This window comes from Homo sapiens, chromosome 8, assembly GCF_000001405.40.
Source record: "Homo sapiens chromosome 8, GRCh38.p14 Primary Assembly".
Classification (NCBI taxonomy): domain Eukaryota; kingdom Metazoa; phylum Chordata; class Mammalia; order Primates; family Hominidae; genus Homo; species Homo sapiens.
In genome coordinates this window covers 78,934,367-78,961,435 of record NC_000008.11, presented here as the reverse complement: position 1 = coordinate 78,961,435, position 27,069 = coordinate 78,934,367, and the positions used below count along the sequence as shown (strand labels likewise).

Here is a 27,069-nt window from a genome sequence, read left to right as displayed (position 1 = left end):
TTCTGTTTTTAAAATATTTTATTGAGATATAATTCACATACTTTTTAAATTATACAATTCAATGATTTTTTTGGTATAATGACAGAGTTATGCAACTATCACGACAATTTTAGAACATTTTCATCATCTCAAAAAAAATTGTGTACTCATTAGTAGTCACTCTACATTTCACCCCAGCCCTTGACATGTGCTAATTTGCTTATCTCTATAGATTTTTCTGTTTTAGACGTCTCATATAAGTGGAACCACATAATAAATAGTCTTGTGTGTCTGGTTTCTTGTACTTAACATTATGTTTTCTTAAAGTCTGTCTGCATTGTAGCATGTATCAGCCCTTAATTCATTTTTTATGGCTAAATAATGTTCCATTATACAGTGTATTGGTTTTCTTGGGCTACTATAACAGAGTACTACACAATGGGTGGCTTAAAACAACAGAAATTTAACAATTCTATCCTTTGAAACATTTTTATACTTTGTACAGCATGCCTCCCTAACTTAAGTTCTCTGACTAGACAGAACACGATCCCTTGTCAGTTATAACAATCTACTGTTTATATGGTTTATTTAAGGATAATCAGACCCATATGAATTTATCTGAGATCCCCCAGTTGATACATGTAATGATGTAGCTTTGTTAACTCAACAAAATTGATTTCAGATTCCAGGATGTAAAGAGTGTTGACAGTCCACTGGGAACCAGGTGACACAAAATATAATGACAGAATCAGCAACAGTAGTGATCAGGGGCTATTCCAAGACTACAAGACTGTAATTATTCCATTGTCACTGAAAATTGTGTTTTATATCACACTTGATACAACTGTCAATAATGAGTGAGTAATAGCATCCTACATACATATTTATGGAGCCATTTTCCTAAGAATTTCAACTAAGGGAAGCATTATTTTCATCACCTGTCAAAACAAAATAGAACAATTACAATAAGACATTAAAATTTTTTTATAGTGATAGGCCTAAAACATATTCAAGATTCTTGGTTTTATTCATCTCACAAATATTTAGTGAGTACTTGTTGTGTACTGCACACTGTGTTAGGCTTTGTTAGGGAACAATACTCTCCTCCAAGAACTAACAACTTAGAACCGATAAAAGCATTCAACTTGAATATATCTCAAAATTCTCCTGCTACCTTGCCAGTCTTGGGTTTATCATGCTGGCTGTTTAGCTTAGTTCCGCCTTGCGTAATCAGGCCACATCTGTGCAGATGCAGTAATTAATTCATATCTGTGGCCTGCCACAAGGAGACATAAATATTAATAGAGCCTTTTATCCATAATTTTAGAGGGTAGCACTTTGGGATTTTTGAGCCTAGGAAAGCCATACCAGAAAAAGAGAGCACAAGGTCAGGGGTACAACTGGCTGGACTAGAAAATCCATCAGGTCAGAATAAAAGAATTAAGAAACTTATGTGTGTTTTAGAATCAATCTTCTAAATGCCCTTCAGAAAATCCTTCTCAGGACACTACTTTATTTAAGCACTGTATTGATTTCCCCCTTATCTTTGGTTTAATTCCAAATTATTTTATGCAACTCCAAAGACCCTGCTTATTTCATGGGGAGGGCCTAACTTTACCCCTGAGCTAGTTTTTTTTGCTGTTCACCCTCCCTGAAACAGTCTTCTCTGTTTCCTCAGTTGGATAACTTATCCTATCTTTTAGGTATAAATGTCATCAACTTCCTCTAATAAATATTCCATGACACCCTCTCCACCAGGGAGTAGATTAGACAGCTTTTTATTCTTTTGCAAAAGAATCCTGTATTTTCCCTACTCTAAAATCATGCTGTAGTATGACTGTCTGCTTATTTTTCTGTAATAAAGGGGTTCATATACTTTATTGGCCAAACAAGTCTATTTTGAGATTAAAAAGAGTATTAAAATAACTATAATCTTATACAAGTTTAAAATAAGTATTTACTAACAAGTGGGGTTTGGGCCTATGGAAGTGTTATAAAATATTTTTGAAATAAAATGTTTCTTTAAGAAAGCAATATCTATTTCTATTCATAAAAGCAAAAGAATATTTGTATTGATTATCAGCACATTAAATAACAAGTAGTATGATTATTTATGTTATATATTCATTTAATTTAAACACCATCTTAGTTGTACAAGTAATATTGGTCATTATTATTCTATTTGTGGACAATGTATTTTTGAAATACAGTTTTATTGTTTTCCATTTTTTCATAAAATTGCCTGCATTTGTTTTCAAAGCTGTGCTTTATGCTAATAAATTTGAAATTGTTGAAACCTTCAATTGACTGGTCTCCATAGAATACATTACTTTTAACTGAGAAAATACCCTCTCTACATGCACTGAAGTACCTAGTAATCGCAAATTATTTTTTGCTAAATACAGCATATTCTCAGATAATGGAAATATATTGTATATTTCAAAAAAAGCTAGAGGAAAATAATTTGCATGTCCTCACCACAAAAAACTGATAAATATTTGAGGTGATGAAATTCTAATGACTCTGATTTGATGATTACACAATCTCTCCATGTATTGAAACGAACAATGTTCCCCATACATATGTATAATCATTATGTATCACAGCTTTTTCTTTTAATATTAAAATGTATACATATTTTAGTCCCACTGTTGTTGTTGTTTTTTTTTTTTTTTTTTTTTTTTTTTTTTTTGAGGCAGTGTCTCGCTCTGTCACCCAGGCTGGAGTGCAGTGGTGCGATCTCAGCTCACTGAAAGTGTCGCCTCCTGGGTTCACGCCATTCTCCTGTCTCAGCCTCCCGAGTAGCTGGGACTACAGGCGCCGCCAATGCGCCCGGCTAATTTTTTGTATTTTTTTTTTTTTGAGTTGAGACAGGGTTTAACCGTGGTCTCGATCTCCTGGCCTCGTGATCCGCCCGCCTCGGCCTCCCAAAGTGCTGGGATTACAGGCATGAGCCACCGCGCCTGGCCTATTTTTTTTTTTAAATGTATTTTATTGTATATATTTGAGGTTTACAACATAATGTTATGGAGTACATATAGATACATCGTAGGAAATATAATGGTTCTAGAGTGAAGCAGATTAGTATATCTATCATCTCACATAACTTGTTTTTTGATGTGACAACAGCAGATAAAATCTACTTAACAAATATCCTTAACACAATTCAATTTTATTTAGTCTTCATGTTGTACATTAGATCTTTAGATTTGTTCATCCTACCTATCTGCTATTGTACATCTTTTGACCTACATCTTCCTCATTTCCTCTCTCCCTCTCCCACCAATGGTAACCACTGTTTCCTTCTTTATCTCTGTGTATTTGAGCTCTTTTATTATTTTATATTTAATATATAATTGAAATCATGCAATATTTTTTTCTCTGTGTTGCTTATTTCACTTAGCATAGGGTCCTCCTGGTTCATGCATGTTTTGACAAATGGTAGGATCTCCTTTTTAAGGCTGTGTAATATTTCATTGTGTATATATACCACATTTTCTTTATACCTCCATCAATGGGCATTTAGGTTCTTTCCATATCTTGACTGCTGCAAATAATGCTGCAATGAACATGGGAATGCCAATCTTTACAAGGTGGTGATAATCTCCTTTTGGTATATTGGTATATATTCAGAAGAAGGATTTCTGAGTCATATGGCAGTTATATTTTTAGTATCTCTAAGACCCTACATATTTCTTCCCATAATGGCTAGATCAGTCTATATTCCCATCAACAGTGCACTGCGGTTACCTTTTCTTCACACCTTTGCCAACATTTTCATCTTATCCATTTGATAATAGCCTTCCTTACTGGTGTAAGGTGATATCTCATAGTGGTTTTAATTTGCATTTCCATTATGATTAGTGATGTTGAGCTCCTTTTCATATACCTAGTGTCCATTTTTATGTTTTCTTTGAAGGTCTGCTCATATCATTTGTCCATGTTTTAATTGGGTTGTTTTTCTGCTATTGAATTATGTGGGTTTTTAAAATAAATTTTGGATATTAGCCATTATCAGATGTATGATTTGCAAAAATTTTCTTCCAGTCTGTAGCCTGCATTTTCATTTTTAAATTGTTTTCTTTGCTGTGTAGAAGGTTTTTAGTGTGATGTATTCCCATTGGTTTATTTTTTCTTTTTTTTATTATACTTTAAGTTCTAGGGTACATGTGCACAATGTGCAGGTTTGTTACATATGTATACATGTGCCATGTTGGTGTGCTGCACCCATTAACTCGTCATTTACATTAGGTATATCTCCTAATGCTATCCCTACCCCTCCCCCAACCCCATGACAGGGCCCAGTGTGTGATGTGATTTATTTTTTCTTTTGTAGCCTGAGCTTTTGGTATGGCATCCCAAAAAAATTATTGCCAAGACCAATGTTGTGGAGTTTTTCCCCTATGTTCCATGAGTTCTATGGCTTCAGGTCTTACACTTAGGTATTTTGTCCATTTTTAGATGATTTTTATCCATAGTGCAAGATAAGGGTCCAATTTAGTTCAAATATCTTAAAAGAGCTCTTGTTTTTGCTTCCATTCAGAGTACTTGTCTTTGGTAGATTTTTTTATCAGACAAAAGTCATTGCAGATGTCTCAATTTATGACTATGGAGATCATGCAAATTTTTTTTTTGTAAATTTTATCCTTTTTGGTATATATTGCAAGTTTATCCAATTAAAAATAGGAGATTTATCAGACTACATCTCACAAGTTTAAATATTCTGGAGTCCAATAATATAATTTAAAAATTAAATGTTTTACATAGTTTGTGCCTTTATTATTTAATTGGCTCCATTTCTACAAGGATCAGTTTCAATGTCCTCCTCTTTACAACCTTTGCTTTTAAGAATTGGAAATTGATAAAGCTTCACAAGCTAAAGCTTTTTGGCATCACAATTGCTAAATACTTTTATTTAAGTTCAGTTTCATAGTACTTCTTCAAGTGCTCAAACACATCTAAATCTAATTGTTGATGACCAGCACAGAGAAAAACTGCATAGCCACCAGCATAATTTAGAATATGTTTGTACTGAAAGCCAGCTTCATCTCAAAAATGCACTACTTTTGTTACCCCAACAACTAGCGTCTCTATTTCAATTAGTAATTATGAATAATTAATAATATTATACATATTATATATAATAGAAATAATAATTAGTAATATTTGTAATTAGTAATTATGAACAATCATGTGCACGACGAATTCCAAGAACATTTCTATTCAGAAAAGTTCAAAAAAGTTTTTTAACTTAGTAAGATTATTGTTTCCATTCTGCATGCTTTGTTTACTGAAACATGATAAAAAAGTTAATCAAATTTTTTTATTCATACCATAACAGCAAAAATAATAATTTTATCTTTAATGTTAAACTTTAAACTACTTTACAATATAATTCACAGTAATGCAAGATACTCAACAAAATGAACTTTGTAAAGTGTTATTTCATGTTTATGACTTTAATGAAAACACAATCTATTAGTGGAATTAACTTATTTTCTATTTGAAGCATCATTTAACCGCTAGTTCATCGGCTAATGGAAGTAACATATAAACAGTTGTTGTTTTATACCTTATACATGCAAAAGATTTCTTAAAACCAACAAAGAGTAAATTACTTTAGAAGAGCAATCATTTAATCTAAATGAAAAGTCAGTCTTTAAAAAGAAATACGTAGGCCAGGCACTGTGGCTCATGCCTGTAATCCCAGCACTTTGGGAGGCCAAGGTGGGCAGATCGCTTGAGGTCAGGAGTTCAAGACCAGCCTGGCCAATATGGTGAAACACAGTCTCTACTAAAAATACAAAAATTAGCTGGGCATGGTGGCAGGTGCCTATAATCTCAGGTACTCAGGAGGCTGAGGTGGGAGAATCGCTGGAACCTAGGAGGTGGAGGTTGCAGTAAGCCAAGGTCACCCCACTACACTACAGCCTGGGTGACAGAGCGAGACTTCATCTCAAAAAAAAAAAAGAAAAGAAAGAAATATGTAAATACACCATCTGAAGTTGCACATGTTAAATTATCATCTTGTGCATAATCTTTCTAAATAACTGTAGGTGCTAGTGATTTGGGGGATGATATACATCACCTTGTTTCCACAGGTTCAATGATATCACTACAGACTCAATTGTTATAGTAAATGTCAACAAATACTTTGTGTAATTTACACATTCATCAACTTTCTTGAGAAATCGAAGTATCTTTAAATTTTCATTAAATATGCATTTTTCAAGGAAAAAGACATCGTTTTGGAAAGGATAGTGGTTGAATTAAATATAGTAAATAATGAACTACTTTCTATATATTCCATGGTAAGACTATTCAGTCTCTATTTCTCACACATCTCATACACAACCATGGTACAAATTAGTTGGTTCACCAAATGACCTAGAAGCAATAGCTTCCAATATTTCTCCCACCACCACCAGGATCCACAAGAAGTTGGTTATCTCCAGGTCACTCATATTAAAGAATTAGTTTTTATAACAGCATTATTGAGATATAATTTGCATATCATAAAAGTATCCCATTTAAAATGTATAATTCAATGGTTTGTAGCATACTCAGAGTTATGCAACCATCACATCACTATTGTAATTTTATAATGTTGTTATCATCCCAAAAAACCCATATTCATTACAAGTCATTCTCCATCCCTTCCCCCATCCCAGCTCTAGGAAATCCCTGATCTATTTCTACTTATAGTTTCCTATTATGGACATTTCATATAAATCTAATTACATAATATGTCACCTTTTGTGACTGGCTTATTTTATTTTGCATAATATTTTCAAGGTTCATACATTTCACACCATGTAACAGTACTTTGTTTATATTGTTAAATAATATTCCACTGTGTGGGTATGCCATATTAAGTTGGTTTATTAGAGAGTATGATGAACACTATTCTTTTCAATGCATCAGAAAAGGATGGGAGAAAGGGAAGCAATTTACTGCTGATTATTTCTGAGATTCAACCACATGTTAATCTGAAAACTCTGTTCATTGCATGCATCTCACACATTACTAATTAAGATGGTGCTGAAAGTAAAAAGTGAAATTCTATCAAAACCATTCCAGTCAAAAGAAACATTAGTAAAAATATTTCTTTAAAATATGAAAACTCAAGAAAAAAATCCTACGCCATATGGGATACTGAGACCACACATGTAAGCCAGGCTTATAGCAGGATTATGGTTGCCCTATCTGTTTCTCATACTGGAACATTATATTTTTTATGAGAATAGTAGATTAGCATAATTCTTGCCATGTAATAGCCTCTCAATATGAATTTTTGAATGAGTTATTGAAGATGTTTTCCCAATAAGTATGTTTATTTCAGTTTTGTGAATTTTTAAATATTTTTAAATTTGTAAGTATTATGGATACATAATAGTTGTACATATTTATAGTGTACATGTGATGTTTTGATAAAAGCATACAATGTGTGTAATGATCAAATCAGGGTAATTGGGATTTCTATTACCTCAAACATTTACCATTTCTGTGTATTAGGAACATTACAATTCCACTTAAGTTATTTTGAAATACACAATAAATTATTGTTAACTATAGCCTCCTTATTGTGCCACTAAACACTAGATATTATTTATTCTATCTAAGTATAGTTTTGTACCCACTAACCATCCCTCTTAATCTCCCCCACCCCACTACACTTCTCAACCTCTGGTAACCACCATTCTACTCTCTACCTCCATGAGATCAATTTTTCTCTTTTTTACCTCCCACAGATGAATGAGAACATGTGATACTTGTCTTTCTGAGTCTGGCTCATTTCACTTAATATAATGTCTTCCAGTTTCATCCATGTTGCTGCAAATGACAGAATTTCATTCTTTTATGACTGAATAATATTCCCTTGTGTATATACCACATTTTCTTTATCTGTTCATCCATTCATGGATACCTAAGTTGTTTCCATACCTTAGCTACTGTGAATAATGCTGCAATAAACATGGGAAAGCAGATGTCTTTTCACATGGTGATGTTCTTTCTATTAGATGTATACCAAGCAGTGGTATTACTGGATCATATAATAGTACTATTTTTCATTTTTTTGAGGAACTGCCATTGTTCCTCATAGTGGCTACACTAATTTACATTTTCACCAACAGTATATGAGGACTCCCCTTTTTCCCATATCCTTGCCAGTATCCATTATTGCCTGTCTTTTTAATACAAAGCCATTTTAACTGGGATGAGATGATATCTTATTGTAGCTTTCATTTTCATTTCCTGATGATTAATGATGTTGAGTGTTTTTTCATATACCTGTTGTCCATCTGCATGTCTTCTCTTAGAAATGACTATACAGTTTTTTTTCTCATTTTTAAATTGGATTATTTATTTATTTTTCCAATTGAGTTGTTTGAGCTCCTTATACATTCAGGTTATTAATCTCTTGTCAGATGGATAGTTTGCAAATATTTTCTCCCATTCTGTGGGTTGTCTCTTCACTTTGTTGATTGCTTTATTGGCTATGCAGATGCTTTTTAACTTGTTGTGACCACATTTGTTCATCTTTGCTTGGTTGTCTGTGCTTTTGAGGTCTTAACTAAAGAAATATTTGCCCAGACCAGTTTCTTGGAGTGTTTCCTCAATGTTTTCTTCTCGTAGTTTTATAGTTTCAGGTCTTAGATTTAAGATTTAAATCTTTAAACCATTTTGATTTGATTTTTGTATATGGGGAGAGATGGGGTCTAGTTTTATTCTTCTGTGTATGAATACCCTATTTTCCTGGATTGAAGAGACTGACATTTCCAAATATATGTTATTAGTAAATTTAATTGTTTGTAAATGTGTGAATATATTTCTGGGTTCTCTATTCTGTTCCATTGGTCTATGTGTCTGTTTTTTATGCCAGTGCCAAGCTGTTTTGGTTACTATAGCTTTGTAATATAATTTGAAGTCAGGCAATGTGATACCTCCAGCTTTGTTCATTTTGCTTGGGATAGCTTTGGCTATTCTGAGTATTTTGTGTTTCTATACAAATTTTAGAATTATTTTTTATATCTGTGAAAAATATAATTGGTATTTTGATAGGAATTTCATTTGAATCTATAGATTGCTTTGAGTATTATGGATATTTTAGTAATGCTGATTCTTCAAATCATGAATATGGAATATCTTTCAAGTTTTTGTGTCCTCTTCAATTTCTTTTATTATTATTATTATACTTTAAGTTTTGGGATACATGTGCAGAACATGCAGGTTTGTTACATAAGTATACATGTGCCATGGTGGTTGGCTGCACCCATCAACCCGTCATCTACATTAGGCATTTCTCCTAATGCTATCCCTCCCCTAGCCCCCTACCCTGTGACAGGCTCTGGTTAATGATGTTCCTTTCCCTGGGTTCATGTGTTCTCATTGTTTAACTCTCACTTATGAGTGAGAATATGCAGTGTTTGGTTTTCTGTTCCTGTGTTAGTTTGCTGAGAATGATGGTTTCCAGATCATCCATGTCCTTGCAAAGGACATGAACTCATCCTTTTTTTATGGCTCCGTTGTATTATATGGTGTATATGTGCCACATTTTCTTTATCCAGTTTAACATTGATGGGCATGTGGGTTGGTTCCAAGTCTTTGCTATTGTGACTAGTGCTGCAATAAACATACACGTGCATGTGTCTTTATAGTAGAATGATTTATAATCCTTTGGGTATATACCCAGTAATGGGATTGCTGGGCCAAATGGTATTTCTGGCTCTAGATCCTTGAGGAATCACCACACTGTCTTCCACAATGGTTGAACTAATTTACACTTCCACCAATGGTGTAAAAGCATTCCTATTTCTCCACATCCTTTCCAGCGTCTGTTGTTTCCTTACTTTTTAATGATTGCCATTCTACCTGGCATGAGATAGTATCTCCTTGTGGGTTTGATTTGCATTTCTCTAATGACCAGTGATGATGAGCTTTTTTTCACATGTTTGTTGGCTGCATAAATTTCTTCTTTTGAGAAGTGTCTGTTCATATCCTTCATCCACTTTTTGATGAGGTTGTTTGTTTTTTTCTTGTAAATTTGTTTAAGTTCCTTGTACATTCTGGTGATTAGCCCTTTGTCATACGTATAGATTGCAAAAATTCTCCCATTGTGTAGGTTGGCTGTTCACTCTGATGATAGTTTCTTTTGCTGTGCAGAATCCCTTTAGTTTAATTAGATCCCATTTGTCAATTTTGGCTTTTATTGCCATCGCTTTTGGTGTTTTAGTCGTGAAGTCTTTGCCCATGCCTATGTCCTGAATGATATTGCCTAAGTTCTGGCCAGGGCAATCAGGCAAGATAAATAAATAAAGGGTATTCAAATAGGAAGAGAGGAAGTCAAATTGTCTCTGTTTGCAGATGACATGATTGTGTGTTTAGAAAACCCCATCATCTCAGCCCAAAATCTCCTTAAGCTGATAACCAACTTCAGCAAAGTCTCAGGATACAAAATCAATGTGCAAAAATCACAAGCATTCCTATACACCAACAATAGGCAAACAGAGAGCCAAATGATGAGCGAACTCCCATTCACAATTCCTACAAAGAGAATAAAATTCCTAGGAATACAACTTGCAAGGGATGTGAAGGACTTCTTCAAGGAAAACTACAAATCACTGCTCAAGGACATAAGAGAGGACACAAACAAATGGAAAAATATTCCATGCTTATAGATGGGGAAAATCAATATCGTGAAAATGGCCATACTGCACAAAGTAATTTATAGATTCAGTGCTATCCCCATCAAGCTACCATTGACTTTCATCACAGAATTAGAAAAAACTACTTTAAATTTCATATGGAACCAAAAAAGAGCCCATATAGCCAAGACAATCCTATGCAAAAAGAACAAAGCTGGAGGCATCATACTACCTGACTTCAAACTTTACTACAAGGCTACAGTAACCAAAACTGGTTACTGATACCAAAACAGATATATAGACCAATGGAACAGAACAAAAGCCTCAGAAAAATGCCACACGTCTACAACCATCTGAGCTTTGATAAACCTGACGAAAACAAGCAATGGGGAAAGGATTCCCTGTTTAATAAATAGTGTTGGGAAAACTGGCTAGCCATATGCAGAAAACTGAAACTGGACCCCTTCCTTACCCCGTATACAAAAATTAACTCAAGATGGATTAAAGACTTAAACGTAAGACCTAAAACCATAAAAACCCTAGAAGAAAACCTAGGCAATTTCTTTAATTAATGTTTTATAGCTTTCTTTGTAGTGATCTTTCACTTCTTTAGTCAAGTTTATTTCTAGGCATTTTATTTTATTTGTAACTATTGTAAATAAGATTAATTTCTTGGTTTCACTGCTGGCATATAGAAATGCTAGTTTTCTTTAACATTGATTTTATATTCTGCAACTTTAGTGAATTTATCAGTTCTAGTCACCTTTCGTTGGATTCTTTAGGTTTTTCTAAATATAAGATCATATCATCTGAAAATAAGGATAATTTGTCCTTTTCCTATCCAATGATCTTTACTTCTTTCTCTTGTTCAACTGCTCCTCCTAAAACTTCCAGCTGTATGCTGAATAACAGTGGTGAAAATGGACATTATTGTCATGGTCAAGATCTTAGAGAAAAGGTTTTCAGTTTTTCCCTGTTCAGTATGATACTAGCTGTGGGTTTGGTGAATGTGTTTTTTTTTTATCATGTTGAGGTATGTTCCTTTTATACCCATTTTTTTAGAGTTTTTATTATAAAGTGATGTGAAATTTTATCAAATGCTTAATTGACATTGATTAAAATGATCATATGGTTTTGGTCTTTCATTCTGTTGATGTGATGTATCACGTTTTTGATTTCTATATGTTGATCCATCCTTGTGTCATTTTGATAAATCCCATTTTATCATAATGAATGACCTTTTTAATGTGTTGCTGGCTTCAGCTTCCTAATATTTTGTTGGGGATTTTAACAATTATGTTCATCTGAGATATTGACCTATAGTTTTCATTTTTCTTGTGTATCTGGCTGGTTTCAGTATCAGGATAATACTGGTCTCATAGAATTAGTTTGGAAGAATTCCCTTTTCATTGATTTTTTTGGAATGGCTGTAATAGAAATGGTATTAGATATTTAAAAGTTTGGTAGAATTCAGCAGTGAAGCCATCAGGTCCTGGGTTTTTCTTTGATGGAAGACATTTTATTCCTACTTCTATTTACTTGTTATTAGTCTATTCAGGTTTTGAACTTCAATCTTGGTAGGGTGTATGGGACTAGGAACTTATTAATTTACTCTAGGTTTTCCAATTTATTGACATACAATTTCTCATAACAGTCTCTAATGATCCTTTGAATATTTGTGGTAACAGTTGTAATATCTCTATTTTCATCTCTGATTTTATATTTAGGTCTTCTCTCCTAAGATAACTTTGCCATGATAAGGTGATGGAGCTTTATCTGAAAGTCACTAGCACAAGCAATGAAATGACTCCATCCCATAATTTATGCCTTATACAAATGTTAATTTCATATTTATTTCTTTGAATTATAATTTATAAGAATATAATATTATACATAAATTAAGATAACACCTACTTTTATACATTATATTTTTTGTAAGTGAATTTGATTTAAATGTATTATTTCATTTAATCTCACATTATCGGTTTTACAGAGAGGTGGTTATCTCTTCCCTGTCACAGGTTGGCTTCCCTAGGAAGCTGACTCTGAAATGGAGATTAGCATACAGGATGTTTATCAGGGAGTATTATGGGCATAAACACATGGAAAAAGAGGAAGCAAAATTGGACAAAGGGAGAATTATAGTCTTGATGAAGGATACAGTTGATCTTAGGGAAGTTCTAAAATTGACATGACCCTTTAGAATTGTCTCAAGTTGTGGGAGAAAGGCAGACTTCATATCTTTCCTTGATGAGTCATTGGGTATGGGCTGCCCAAGGAAGGGGGCAAAATATTGGGCAAGGGGTGTGTCTCCAACAAAGACATTTTCTGTAGAAGGCTAATAGCGGAGACCTGCCTTAGGGAAGTACTTATAGAAGTTTAAAAAACAAGCCCTTTATTTCTACAAGGGATCTGGGCAGCACACTATCTATGACAAACACATTCCATTAATTCCTTAGTTTTTGATAAAGTTTAGAAATATTTTTGGAATATTTTTATTTCTGTCAGTTAAAAGAGAACCAACCTTGTAACTAAGACTGACTTAAATTTTACCTTGGTCCCTGGCTAGTTGTGTAATTTGGAATAAACTCAGTAATTATTCTGATACCCATTTTTTCTTATATAAAGTGAAGGAGACTATATTTGATATATAACAAAATTCTAATATTTATAAGTAAAATTGTGTGGGGTGTGTGGGGGGGTGGAGAGAGAGAGAGAGACAGAGAGAGAGAGAGGAAGGGAGATGAGCCCTATTCAGTTAAAATGAAGAAAAGTAACTATATCAACTCACAACAGATTAGCAAATGGTGGCCCTGTATCATATTCTACAAAGTAAGGGCAGATTGTCAGAGGCACTGAGTTAGTTTTACACTGCTACATAATAAGCCACCAGACTTCATGGTTCAAAACAAGCTACATCCATTTATTAGCTCAGAGTTCAGTAGTTCAGAAGTCCAGCCACGTTTCAGCTGGGTTCTCTGGTCAAAGTCTTACAAGACTGAAATCAAGGTGTCAGTCAGACTGGAGTCTCATTTGGAATGTGAAGTCTTTTTTCAAACTTATTTAAGTTGTTGACAGAATTTAGTTCATTGTAGTTTTAGGACTGAGACACTCAGACCCTAATGATGATTCACCTTCACGGAAATTCAAAATATGGCTATTTGCTTTCTTGTTTGAGGCCATAGGGAGAATGTCTCTCTGATTCTTTGCATTTTAAAACTCTAGACCCCCATTTGATACCTCACCTGAGTAGGACAGACTCTGATTAGATAATTTCCGATCTGATTAACTTAACTGAATGTGGAACTTTAATTATATCTGCTAAAGTCTCTATTGCATATAATAGAACATAATGATGAGGTTGATAATGCATCATATTTACAGGCTTCACCCGTACTCAAAAGCAGTGCATTATACACAATGGGGTAGAAATCTCAAGGATTGTCTTGGAATTCTGCTTGCCATGGGCACACAGAAAATCTCAGCGATAAAGAGGCTGTTGGAGGTAGAGAGGTTGGTCCACTTGTTCTGTCATGTAATAACTCTTAGATACAGGAAAGACCTTGTAATTAAACATTTTCCATCTGAGATTAACACAGAAATCCCTAACCAATAATTCAACTTGACAAGAACAGATTAGATATTTTTCCTGTGCTGAGTATGGATGTAGAGTTGTGAAATGGAAGACAAGGGAAATTTAGAAAGATGTGGAGATTCAAAGTGTTCAACCTTGTTGCATTTGCCACAATATTTACATCCTATTTCTTGGGATTATATTATTTCCCCAGCAGTGGTTTCTTCTTACTTTGAGACATAACTGAATTGAGTATCTCGTTTGCACTGCAACTGCAATTTTGACAGTCCAGTCTTGATATTGGTCCTCAGTTTATCTGCTCTGCCACTTTAGGAGATAAGGGATTGGTTCAAAGTTACCACCAAGGCTTTCTCGTTTTTGATTTATATTCTGAGTTGGAATTTCACAGCCTTTAGTTCCTCTTTTTCGTGTGTAAACTACGTAGGACATCTAGTAAAAGGTAATGTATATACAATATTAATGATCACTATTGTTTTTCAACACCTAAACTACCCACAAAATTTGTGGTTGATTATGTTCCCTGTTACAGGCTGTTGCGGGACCAGCCACTGCCAGGGTCACTTCTGTTCTTGTGTTCAGCTCCAGTCACCCGCACCAGTGACCTCTTCTCTGAAGGTGAGTGCCTCTTTGGAGTCATTGATATCATTTCTTACCAAAGAACCTGATCCAGCCCACTTCAATTCAACAGAAATATTTGTATAAGAGGAAAGATCAAGTTTGGTGTTCTTTTCCTCCCAAGATAAATCCTAGTCCCTGTGTAAATCGCTAACTTCTTCGCACAGGGACGGCTCCTTACACCAAGTGGTATTGCCATCTTTTCAGGCCACAGAAGCTGCTGTTTCAACCTGGTCTGGAGTAATGAGTTTCATAGTGGCTTGAACAAAGAAAATCACTTAAGTGATTAAATAAAAATTTCAAAATTTAGTCCTAAGGTGATTTGCAACTCTCTCTTCACACACAGAAGATATTGATATAATGTCCTAAATGTTCCTTCTTCAGGCATCTATCTTACACACAAATATGAGCATATTCTATCTATTTTGCACCCTTCTTTACTTCACATTATATTCAATTATAATATTTTTCAATGACTTTGTAAAATATAATAATAAATTTAAATGGCCAAATAACATATAAAATCCTTTCAAATTATATTTAACAATTTCATGTCTAACTGTTATCATTGAAATGTTGGTATAGTAATTTTACTATTGATATTTAACTTGATCATGTTGCAGTCTCTTAAATTAAACACACTGATATATGGAGATTTGGAGGATTTTTTTAAGTACTAAAAAAGGAAAATTTATATAACAGAGGAGAAGCTGCAAACTCATGGGCCACTTATATCCCATTTTCTAATAAAGTAGGAGTTTTTTATGTGACATTGTGATGGACTTATTGTTGACATGGGTAAGTTACAGTCACAAGTTATTCAATAAATACTAATTTAGGTGTTACTGTGACGGTAATTTATAGAGTTAAATAAAGTCAATACTCAGTTGACTTTAAGAGACATTATCCTAGATAATTTAGCAGAGCCTCATTTCACCAGTTGGAAAGCCTTAAAAGCAAAGCTGAAGCTTCTCTGAGGCAGGAGAAATTCAACTTGTGGCCAGAATCTGCAGCCCATAACCAAGAGTTCCAGCCTGCCGTATGGATTTTAGACTAGCCTTATCAGTCCCCACAATCATATAAACCAATTTCTTGAAAAAAAATCTTACAATATCTCTCCTACTGGTCTGTTTCCCTGGATAAATGATGATGGATACAGATGTTGCTTCTTGACATTGTTCTAAAGGAACATAATCATATGGATGAGTTTTCTGAATTGTTTCTGGGGTTTGAGAATTTAGTTGCCTCATGTGATTATATTTAAAGGCACTAATGACTATTTCCGGTGATAGAGCATTAGAAATCCATGGTATAATATGACAAAAGAGATATGGAAAATATAACCATTGGACACTTGTGATCAAATACCTGTAGAAGTTGAAGTTGTGGGTCACCATGTATTTGCTACCTTAGAATATTTTTATCAAACCTAAGAGTATCGTGGAGCTGGTCAGTTACTCCTCACTGTTCCAGAAATAAAAGAAGTGCAGGACTTCAAATTCCAGCTCAAGTTCCACCTAAATAATGTAATAGTCTGTTTTTTATGCCCTAAAAGTCACCGTTATCTTTTCTACCTACAGGTCTGAGATTTCTAAAAATTAAACCTGAATCTCCCTGTGAGTGGCTTAATTACAACACAAATTGAATTTCCAACCCCACGAGGTGTTTTCTGTTAAAATGATTGGGAAGGAATGGGATCCTGAAAATTGGAATGAGGGCATATTGACAGATCCCAATGAAGCTGGGGACACTGAACCCTTGAATTTGGACAGTTTTCTTGCTGGGAGAAGCAGCCATCCACCCCTGTCTAAGGAGGTTATCTGTTCTTCCTGAAGAATCTATAATTGCCTTGCAAGGTACTGCTGATTCTTCTTAGGACCTATCTCCACCCACCCCTCTCTGCATCTAGACCTACAATTAGACTTAAGTCTCAGCAGAGCCCAAACGGTAAGGTACAATGAATGACCTGCAAGAAGAACAGAATGATTTTTCCAATTTATACACACATAAATCTGGGGAAATAGGTGTGGGAATGGGTCTTAAGAGTGTGGCATTATGGTGGAAGGAATATAAAGTTGGATTAGTCTGATGTATTACTATGGCTCACTAAGGTCAGTGGTCTAGGAAGGGCTCTAACAGTTTGTTTTGTCCATAGGTTGAAACATGAAACTGAAGGTGGCCTACAATAAATGAAGTTGAAATGTCAGGATTGCCTTGGTATACTATGGAGGAAGGCATCTAAAGTCTTAGGGAGGTTGAAATGTTTGAATAGATTTATCATGTAAGAACTGCTCATCCAATTGGAGAGTCCAGAAGACATACCTTTTACCACAATTATGAGAAATAAATTTATAGGGGGAATCCTAGCATCCTTGAGAGCTCTCTCTTTACTCTTTTCTGCAAGTCAGATATTACAGTGGAAACTGCTGCTATTTGACAGGGATCATCAAAAACCAGATAGTCACCACAATAAACTGCAGAGTCAAAGCAGTTACCAGAATACTGTAACTCCCAAAGACCTACGGCATTAGCTAGTTGATAATGATGTCACTAGAAAAGAAATAGATGGGCAGTCTAATGAATGATGTGTATAGGTGGAAAAGTTCCAGGTCTAGTGAGCAGAAGTCTAATTCAAATCACCAAAACAGAGAGACATAACACCTCAATTAATTTCCAGGCTGAGACAATTTACCACCCCAGAACCCCTTAAATGAAAGGGAGGCTAAGTCCCTTTGAGGAAGAACTCCATTGCACTGCCAAAAAAAATGTGTTTATACTGTTAATCTTTCTTCTGGTCTTTCCTAAAGAGATCTAGTTATTTACCAGTGTGCTTTTGCTTTGGAAAATAGAAATAATTAGACTTTTGGAAGATTACTGAACACTGACTAAAATGACACTAATTTCTGGTCACCCAAAATGTCACTGTGGAGGCATAATAGAGGCTTATGAAGGTTTGGTGATTAATTGATCATTAGTTCATATTTGTCTCAGTGGGTTCAGCATGTCCCTGAACAAGTCCTGTGATTATTTCTCCAGTTCCAGAAGCATTATTGGAATAGACACATTCAGAATGTGACAAAATCTCTACATTGGTTTCCCGACTTGTGAAATAAGGGATATTATGGAAAGAAAAATAATTGGAAGCCACTATAACTGCCTCTACCTAGGAAAATAGTAAACTAAAAGTAATGCTGCAATCCCGGAGGACGTAAAACATGTGAGCATAGTGACTTCCCACCACATCCACATTCAATTCATCTATTTGGCCTGTGCACAAAACAGATGGATCTTGGAGAATGACAGTGGATTATTGTCAACTTAATCAGGTGGTGATTCTAATTATAGCTGCTGTTCCAGAGGTGGTTTCATCGCTTGGGCAAATTAACACATCCTCAGGTATTTGGTATACAGCTATTCACCTGAAAAAAAAATGACTTTTTTGTTTTGCTATATATGTTAGTAAAGATCATTAGAAGCAGTTTTCTTTCAGTTGGAAAAACCAGAAATACACCTTTACTGTTCTACTTACAGGATGCGTCCATTCTTCAGCCTTATATCATCATTTAGTCCACTGGGACCTTGATTGATTTCCCTTTCTGCAGAAAATCAGTCCGTTCCATTGCATTGATGACATTATGCTGATTGGACCTGGTAACCAGAAAGTAGCAACTGCTCTGGACACTTGTGTTTCAGAGGGTGGGAAATATATTTCGCAAAAATTGAGAGGCCTTCCGTATCAACTAATTCCCAGGGTCTAATGGTGAAAGGAAGGTCAAAGTATTCCTTCTCAGGTGAAAAATAAGATTTTTGTATCTGATTGGTCCTCCTACAGCCAAAAAAGAAGCACAATGCATAGGAGGCCTCTTTAGATTTTCAAGGCAGCACATTGTTCTTTTTGTGTGTACTACTCCAGCCCATTTACTGAAAGACCTGAAAAGCTACTAGTTTTGAGTAGAAGCAAGATCAAGAAAGGGCTCTGCATCAGGTCTAGCCTGCTGTGCAAGCTGTTCTGACATTTGGGCCATGTGTCACCAGCAAGCCATGATCCGGAAGATCTGATGACATTTAAAATGTCAGTGTCAGAGAGAGATGCTTTTTGGAGTCTTTGGAAGCCTCTTATAAGTGAATCATAACACAGACTCAGGATTTTAGAGTAAAACTCTGCTATTTTCTGCAGATATGTACAGTAAGTCCTCACTTGACCTGATCTATAGATTCTCAAAAACTGCACCTTCAAGCAATACGCATGTTTCTGGTCACAGAAACATCACCCAACTTTTAAATAAAGATGAAAACGCTTCTAATATTAAATATTAAAATAAATATGGGCTATACACATATTTAAGAAAGGTTAATGAAAACAAGTAAGATAATTGTTTACCCAATTATTCCAGTTCAGGGTCACAAGTGGCTGGAGCCTATCTCAGCAGCTCAGGGTGCAACCCGGGCAGGACCCCATCCATCACAGAGTGCACTCACACACACCCACACTCACTCCAGTGGGGATGATTTAAACACTCCACTTCACCTAACATGCACAACTTTGGGAAGTGAGAGAAGACAGGAGTCCCTGAAGAAAACCCACACAGACATGGGGAGACTGTGCAAACTCCACACAGACAGTAGCCTGAAAGGGAATTGATTTTTTTTTCTTATCAACATTATAACAAAATGACATTATTTGAGGAGAGGTGTATACTATTTTTGAGAAACAGTTTTTGGCTTGGTCCCAGGTCTTAATAGGGACCGAATATATTATCATGGACCACCAAGTTATAATGTGATCTGAGCTATCTATCATGAACTGGTTGCTGTCTAATCTACTAAGCATGGAAGTTAGGCATGCACAGCAGCACTGTGCCAGTCAATGGAAGTGGTATATGTGAGGCTTGAGGTGGCTTTCCGGGCAATGGTAAGTTACATAAGGAAGTAACACAAATGCCCACGGCCCTACTCCTGCTACATTATCTTCTCAATCTCAGCCCACACCAATGGCCTCATTGGGAGTTTCTTATCAGTTAACTGAGAAAGTGAAAACTCAGACCTGGTTTACAGATAGTTCTGCACAACATGCAGCACCAGCCAAAAGTAGAAAACTCCATCACTCTAGCTCTTTTCTGGGACATTTTTGAAGGACAGTGGTGAGGAAAAGTTCTTTCAGTGGGCAGAACTTAGAGCAGTTCACCTCATTGTTCACTTTCCATTGAAGGAGAAATGGTCAGATATATGACTCTGTATTATTCAATGGGGTGAGGCTAATGGTTTGGATGGATGGTTAGGAACTTGGAAGAAACATAATTGGAAAAATTGGTGACAAAGAAGTCTTGGAAAGCAGTATGTATATAGATCTCACAAAATGAATAAAGTGGGTGAACATGTTGGCATCTCTTATGAATCTTCAACAAAGGATTACGTCAACAGAGAATGATTTTAATAATCAAGTGGATAGGAAAAAATGTCTGGATGCCAGTCATCTCTTTCTTCAGACACTCCAGCCACTAACGAGCTCTGAACAAATTGGCTATGATGTCAGGAATGGAGATGATGCATGGGCTCAGAAACATGAAATTATACTCACTGGGGCTTTCCTGACCTAAGTCTATACTCTGCCAGCAGCAAAGACCAACACTGAGTCCTCATAATAGAACCATGCCCCAAGATAACAGCCAACTACCTGATGGTTGCTTGATTACAGAGAACTGCTTTCATCATAGAAGATACATTGTTCTTACTAGAGTAGACACTTCTTCTGAACATGGACTTGCTTTCCTTGCATACAATATTTCTGCCAAAATTAGCACCTGTCGACTTAGAGAATATCTTATCCACCATCACAGTATTATACACAGCTCTGGTCAAGGAACTTACTTTGTAGTGATTAAATGTGGCAATGATCTCATGCTCATGGAATCCACTAGCCTGTTACAAATTGTCTTGAAGTAGCTGACTTTATAGAATGTTGGACAGTCTTTTGAAGACTCAGTTACACTTTCAGCTAAATGGAAATACCTAGCAGGAGTCAGGATAGGAGCACTTTCCTCTAGGATGTGTTAATGCTCTACATCACCATCCATTATATGGTGCTGTTTTCCCTACAGCCAGGGTTTATTTGTCCAGGAATTAAGGAGTGGAAATGGGAGTAACTCTATGCATTATTACCCTTAATGATCTCTCAGATATATTTTTGCATTATGTCTCCTCAACTGTAGCCTATGATGGTCTACAGATCTTTGTTCCAAAAGGAGAAATACTTCCACCAGGAGACAGAACAATGATTGCAGCAAAATGGATGTTGAGGCTACTACCTACCCATTTTGGGTTCCTTGTCCTTCCTAATCAATATACAAAGAGGAAGTTAATCTATTGTCTGGGATAATAGATTCTGATTATTAAGGGGATGCTGGGTCGCTACTACACATGGCGGGAAATAAGATTTTTTAAATGTAAGAAATTCTTTATGATGTCTCCCACATCCTATAGCTAAAACCTGTATTAGTCCATTCTCACGTTGCTAATAAGTACATACCCAAATCTGAGTAATTTATAAAGGAAAGAAGTTTAATTGACTCACAGTTTAGCATGACTGGGGAGACCTCAGGAAACTTGCAATCATGGCAGAAGGGGAAGCAAACACATCCTTCCTTACATTGCGACAGCAAGGAAAAGTGCAGAGCGAAGTTGGAGAAAAGCACCTTAAAAATCCATCATATCTCATGAGAACTCACCCACTATTATGAGAACAGCATGGAGGTAACCGCCCCCATGATCCACTTACCTCCCACCAGGTTCCTCCTATAACACCTGAGGATTATGGGAACTACAGTTCAAGATGAGATTTGGCTGGCAACATAGCCAAACCATATCATTCCACCCTAGCCCCTCACAAAACTCATGTCCTCAAAATTCAAAACACAATCATGTCCCTCCAACAGTCCTCCCAGGTATTAACTCATTCTAGCATGAACTCAAAAGTCCAAGTCCAAAGTCACATCTGAGACAAGACAAGTGCCTTTTCTCAGGTCCCTAGGAGCCTGTAAAATCAAAAGCAATTTAGCTATATAATGGGGACAGGCATTGAGAAAATACACCCATTCCAAATGGGAGAAACTGACCAAAACAAAGGGGGTTCAGGACCTATGCCAGTCTGAAATTCAACGGGGCAGTCATTAAACTGCAAAGTTCCAAAATGATCTCCTTTGACTCCCTGTCTCACATCCAGGTTAGACTGATGCAAGAGATGGGCTCCCACAATCTTGGGCAGCTCTGCCCCTGTGGCTTTGCAGGGTACAGCCCCACTCTTGGGTTTTTTCATGGCTGGCATTGAGTGTCTGTGGCTTTTCCAGGTGCATGGTGCAAGCTGTCTGTGGATCTACCATTCTGGGTTCTGGAGAATGGTGACCCTTTTCTTACAGCCACACTAGGCAGTGCCCAAGTGGGGACTCTGTGTGGTGGCTCCCACCTCACATTTCCCTTCTGCACTGACCTAGCAGGGGTTCTCCAGGAGGACTCCACCCCTGCACCAAACTTCTCCCTGGACATCCAGGCATTTCCATGCATCCTCTGAAATCTAAGCGAAAGTTCCCAAACCTCAATTCTTGTCTTATGTGCCTCTGCAGGACCAACACCAACGCCAAGACCCAACCCAAGAGTTGGGTCTTGCACCCTCTGAAGCAACGACCTGAGCTATACCTTGGCCTCTTTTAGTCACCGCTGGAGCAGCTGGGACACAGGGCTCAGGAAACTTACAATCATGGCAGAAGGGGAAGCAAACACATCCTTTTTCACATGGCAGCAGCAAGGATAAGTGCAGAGCAAAGTGGGGGAAAATTCCCTTATAAAACCACCTGGCGCGGTGGCTCATGCCTGTAATCCCAACACTTTGGGAGGCTGAGGTGGGCAGATCATGAGGTCAGGAGATCGAGGCCATCCTGGCTAACATGGTGAAACCCTGTCTCTACTAAAAATACAAAAAATTAACCGGGTGTGGTGGCAGGTGCTTGTAGTCCCGGCTTCTCGGGAGGCTGAGACAGGAGAATGGTGTGAACCCTGGGAGGTGGAGATTGCAGTGAGCCGAGATGGCACCACTGCACTCCAGCCTGGGCAACAGAGCGAGACTCCACCTAAAAAAAAAAAAAAAAAAAAAAAAAAAAAAAAAATCAGATTTTGTGAGAACTCACTCACTATCACAAAAATAACATAGAGGTAACCACCTCCATGATTCAATTACCTCCCACCAGGTACCTTCAATGACGTGAGGATTATGGAAACTACAGTACAAGATGAGATTTGGGTAGGAACAGAGCCAAACCATGTCAAATCAATGGATACCCACAACCCAATCCAGGCAGAACTGCTAGTGGACGAATGCTTCAGGCATGAAAGTTTGGTTCAATTCACCAGGCAAAGAACCATGACTAGCAGCACTGCTTGCTGAGGGCAAAGGGAATATCAAAAGAGTACAGGAAGAAAGTAGTTATAAATACCAGCTACAAGAGCATGACCAGTTACAGAAACAAGGATTGTAAGAGTTATACGTATTCCTTCCTTATTTTATTTTGAATATGTTTGCATATCTTATTAACCATTTTTTAAAAGTTTCTTCCCTGTCTTATTCCCTTAAATGGCTGTTAACTTTATTTTGCAGTAAGTTACAGGATATCAAAGGAGGAGAGTGAACATCATCCAAGGATTTGGAGTCCTCTTCTGGGAAAAAGGTAAGTATATGTTCTTTTGTGGAAAAAAAAAAAAAAGCAGGCTGGGCACGGTGGATCATGCCTGTAATCCCAGCACTTTGGGAGGCCCAGGCGGGCAGATCACCTGATGTCAGGAGTTTGAGACCAGCCTGGCCAACACGGTAAAACCCCATCTCTACTAAAAATAAAAAAAGTTACCTGGGTGTAGTGGCAGGCACCTGTAATATCAGCTACTCAGGAGACTGAGGCAGGAGAATCACTTGAACCTGGGAAGTGGAGGTTGCAGTGAGCCAAGATTGCGCCATTGCACTCTAGCCTGGGTGACAAGAGTGAGACTTCGTTTCAAAAAAAAAAAAAAAACCAAAAAACAAACAAACAAAACCAAACCAAAACAAAACAAGACAGTTGTGTTATTTTGGGTGGATGCATGACTTTGTTACTCACTTTATTTAGAGTTTGACTTTAGGAATGTTAATGGGTGCCAGACTGACAGGTGGACTATGGTGGTGGTTTTACTGTGTCAACCTGGCCAGGCCTCATCCTCTAGTTATTCAAGTACCAATCTAGATGTTGCTATGAAGCTATTTTGTAGATGTAATTAAATCCTAAAATCAGTTGACTTTTAGTAAAGGGGGTTTTACTAGATAATCTGGTGGGTACTGATTTAATTAGTTGAAAGGCTTTAAAAGCAGAGCTGAGGCATTCCTGAGAATAAACTTATGCTTGTGGACCACAGCTTCCACCTATGCCCAATAGTCCCATTCTTCCCTTACTGATGACTCACCTTATGGATTTTGGAACTTTCTAGGCATTCCCCATAAGCTAATTTCTTGTAACAAATTTCTCAGTATGTATCTCCTAATGGTTCTGCTTTATCTGGTGAACTAGACTGTATTAGTCCATTTTCACACTGCTGATAAAGATATACCCAAGACTGGGAAATTTACAAAAGAAAGAGGTTTAATAGACTTAAGAGTTTCACGTGGCTAGGGAGGCCTCACAACCATAGTGGAAGGTGAAAGGCACTTCTTACACGGCAGCAGCAAGGGAGATAACGTGCAGGGAAACTCTCATTTTAAAACCATCAGATCTCATGAGACTCATTCACTATCATGAGCACAGTGCAAGAAAGACCTGCCCCCATAATTTAATCACCTCCCACTGAGTTCCTCCCATGACACGTGGGAATTGTGGGAGTTACAATTCAAGATGAGATTTGGGTGGGGACACAGCCAAACCATATTATAAACTAGTGTAGACAGATATCACCTGTCTGAGACTACTGAACCTGAATTGGTGATGAGAAAAACTCAAAAAAAGAGAAAATATTTATTAACAACATATTCCTCTTTAAATGTTTGGTAGAATTCACCACTGAAGCCATCTGGTCTTGAGCGTCTTTTTGTTGGGAGATGTTTGATTACCGAAAAAATATCCTTACTCATTATGGATCTGTTCAGATTCTCTGTTTATTCATGGTGCAGTCTTAGTAGCTTGTATATTTCTAGAAATATATGCATTTACTTTAGGTTATCCAATTTGTTTGTATTTGATTGCTCATAATAGTCTGTTATGATCATTTGTATTTCTATAGTATCATTTGCATTCTATTTTATTTATAATTTTTCTTGAGTCTTCTTTTTTTCTTAGCCCAGCTAAGGATTTGTCAACTTTGTTTATCTTCTCAAAAAACCAACCCTTCTGTTTTATTGATCTTTTCTATTGTTTTTCTGAAAATGCAAACCCAAACCACAATGAAATATCACTTCATGCCTGTTAGAATGGCTATTACTAGTAAAAAAACAACAACAACAACAACAAAAAATAACCAGTGTTGGAGAGAATGTGAAGAAAAGGGAATCCTTGTATACTGTTGATGGGAATGGAAATTGGAGTAGCAATTATGGAAAACAGTATGGAGATTCCTCAGTAAATTAAAAATAGAACTACTGTACAATCCAGCAGCCCCTCTTCTGGGTATATATCCAAATAAATTGAAATTAGGACCTTGAAAAGACATCTGCAAGCCCGTGCCCATTGCAACATTATTCACAATAGGCAAGATAGAGCAACAACCTAAATGTTCATAGGTAGATTAATGGAAAAATAAACTGTGGTATATACATACAATGAAATATTACCCTGCCTTTAAAAAAAGAAAATCATGTCATTTGAGACAACATGGATGGACTTGGAGGGTATTCTGTTAAATGAAGTCATCCAGACACAAAATAAACAGATACTCTACAATTTCACTTATGTGTGGAATCTAAAACAAACTCTTAGAGGGATAGAGTAGAATGGGGCTTGCCAGGGTCTAGGAAAATGGGAGAATTGGGGAGGTGGTAGTTAAAGGGTACAAAGTTCCAGTTATATGTAAGAGAAGTAATTTCTGGAAATCTACTATACAGTGTAGTGCCTATAGCTAGCAAAACTCCATTTTATACTTAAAATTTGCTGAGAGGGTAAGATCTACCTTATGTTAATTGTCCATATCGAAAAACAGTGACAACAACAACAAAAATCCCAATAATGATAATAAAGGAGCTGGGAGGAAACTTTGGGAGATGACAGGTGTACTATGGCCTTGGTAGTGGTGATGATTTCATGGGTTTATACTTATCTCCAAAGTCACTGTGAGATTGTATATAAAATAGGTACAGTTTTTAAACATGTCAATCATACCTGAATAAAGTGGTTTAAAGACAAAAACAATATATTCTTCATAAGCAGTTCCACTTACTGTATTTTTTTTCTAATATGAGAGCAATTCTCCAGAAACTTCAGCTGTGGGAAAATAAGAAAATCACTGCCAAAGATTTGGCCCATTGCCTTATAAATTATTGAATATATCGGTTATTAAATTTGTAGCCTACAAAACCACTTCTGAGATAACTTGGCCTGCCTAGCATAGAGTTAAGCTTAGAATAATTTTCTAGCTACCAAATTTCAGGAAGGATTTGATTTTATTTGGTTAATTATGGAGAACAACAAGCTTTATTAGGATTTCATTATAGTCCTCTGAATCCCATGAGATTTCCATAGTTAGAAATGAATTTTTAAAGTCTTGCTGAAATAGCTTCGATTATTTCTTGAGGTTTTTTAAAAATGATACTTTACTTTGGTGGCTTATCTGTTGTTGACCTTAAAGTGACCATAATATACTTTTTAATATTTTCTTCAAAATAATAATGATAAGCACAATACAGTATTTTTAACCATAGGCACTTAGCTGTATAGTAGATCTCTAGAATTCATTCATGTAGCATAATTGAAACTTTATAACCATTGAACAACTCCTCACCTCTCTTAACTTGCCCCTGACAACCACTGTTATATTCTCTGCTTCTATGAGTTTGACTATTATAGATACCTCACATAAGTGTAATAATAAACTATTTACCCTTCTTGAATGGCTTCTTTCTCTTAGCATAATGTCCTTCAGGTTCATCCATGTTGTCTCAAATGGCAGGATTTTCTTTTTTTTAAGGATGAATAATTCCATTGTATACTACATTTTCTTTATGCATTTATCTGTCAA

At 36.3% G+C, this 27,069-nt stretch overlaps 3 long non-coding RNA genes across 9 annotated transcripts in view; 1 reads left to right on the top strand and 2 right to left on the bottom strand.

The window, feature by feature from the left end:
- LOC105375913 (uncharacterized) lies at positions 1 to 22,853 on the bottom strand. The gene is made up of 2 exons (XR_929077.2): positions 22,814 to 22,853; positions 1 to 18,483 (listed from the first exon to the last, which is right to left on the bottom strand). It is a non-coding gene; the product is annotated as an uncharacterized LOC105375913 (long non-coding RNA).
- LOC105375912 (uncharacterized) overlaps positions 14,758 to 27,069 on the top strand; it is a 42,502-nt gene continuing 30,190 nt past the window's right edge. The window contains exons 1-2 of one of the 2 annotated variants that reach the window (XR_929075.3): positions 14,758 to 14,835; positions 23,480 to 23,549. This is a non-coding gene — a long non-coding RNA (uncharacterized LOC105375912). Of the gene's footprint in view, positions 14,836 to 23,181; positions 23,357 to 23,479; positions 23,550 to 27,069 lie in introns of those variants that run through there. The other variant, XR_007060973.1, reaches the window with a different exon arrangement.
- The window catches only part of MITA1 (metabolism induced tumor activator 1), a 133,238-nt gene continuing 129,895 nt past the window's right edge, over positions 23,727 to 27,069 (bottom strand). For 3 of the 6 annotated variants that reach the window (XR_001745967.2, XR_001745970.2, XR_001745965.2), the window contains one exon: positions 23,727 to 23,844. This is a non-coding gene — a long non-coding RNA (metabolism induced tumor activator 1). Of the gene's footprint in view, positions 23,864 to 24,714; positions 27,063 to 27,069 lie in introns of those variants that run through there. The other 3 variants (XR_002956715.2, XR_002956717.2, XR_002956716.2) reach the window with 3 other exon arrangements.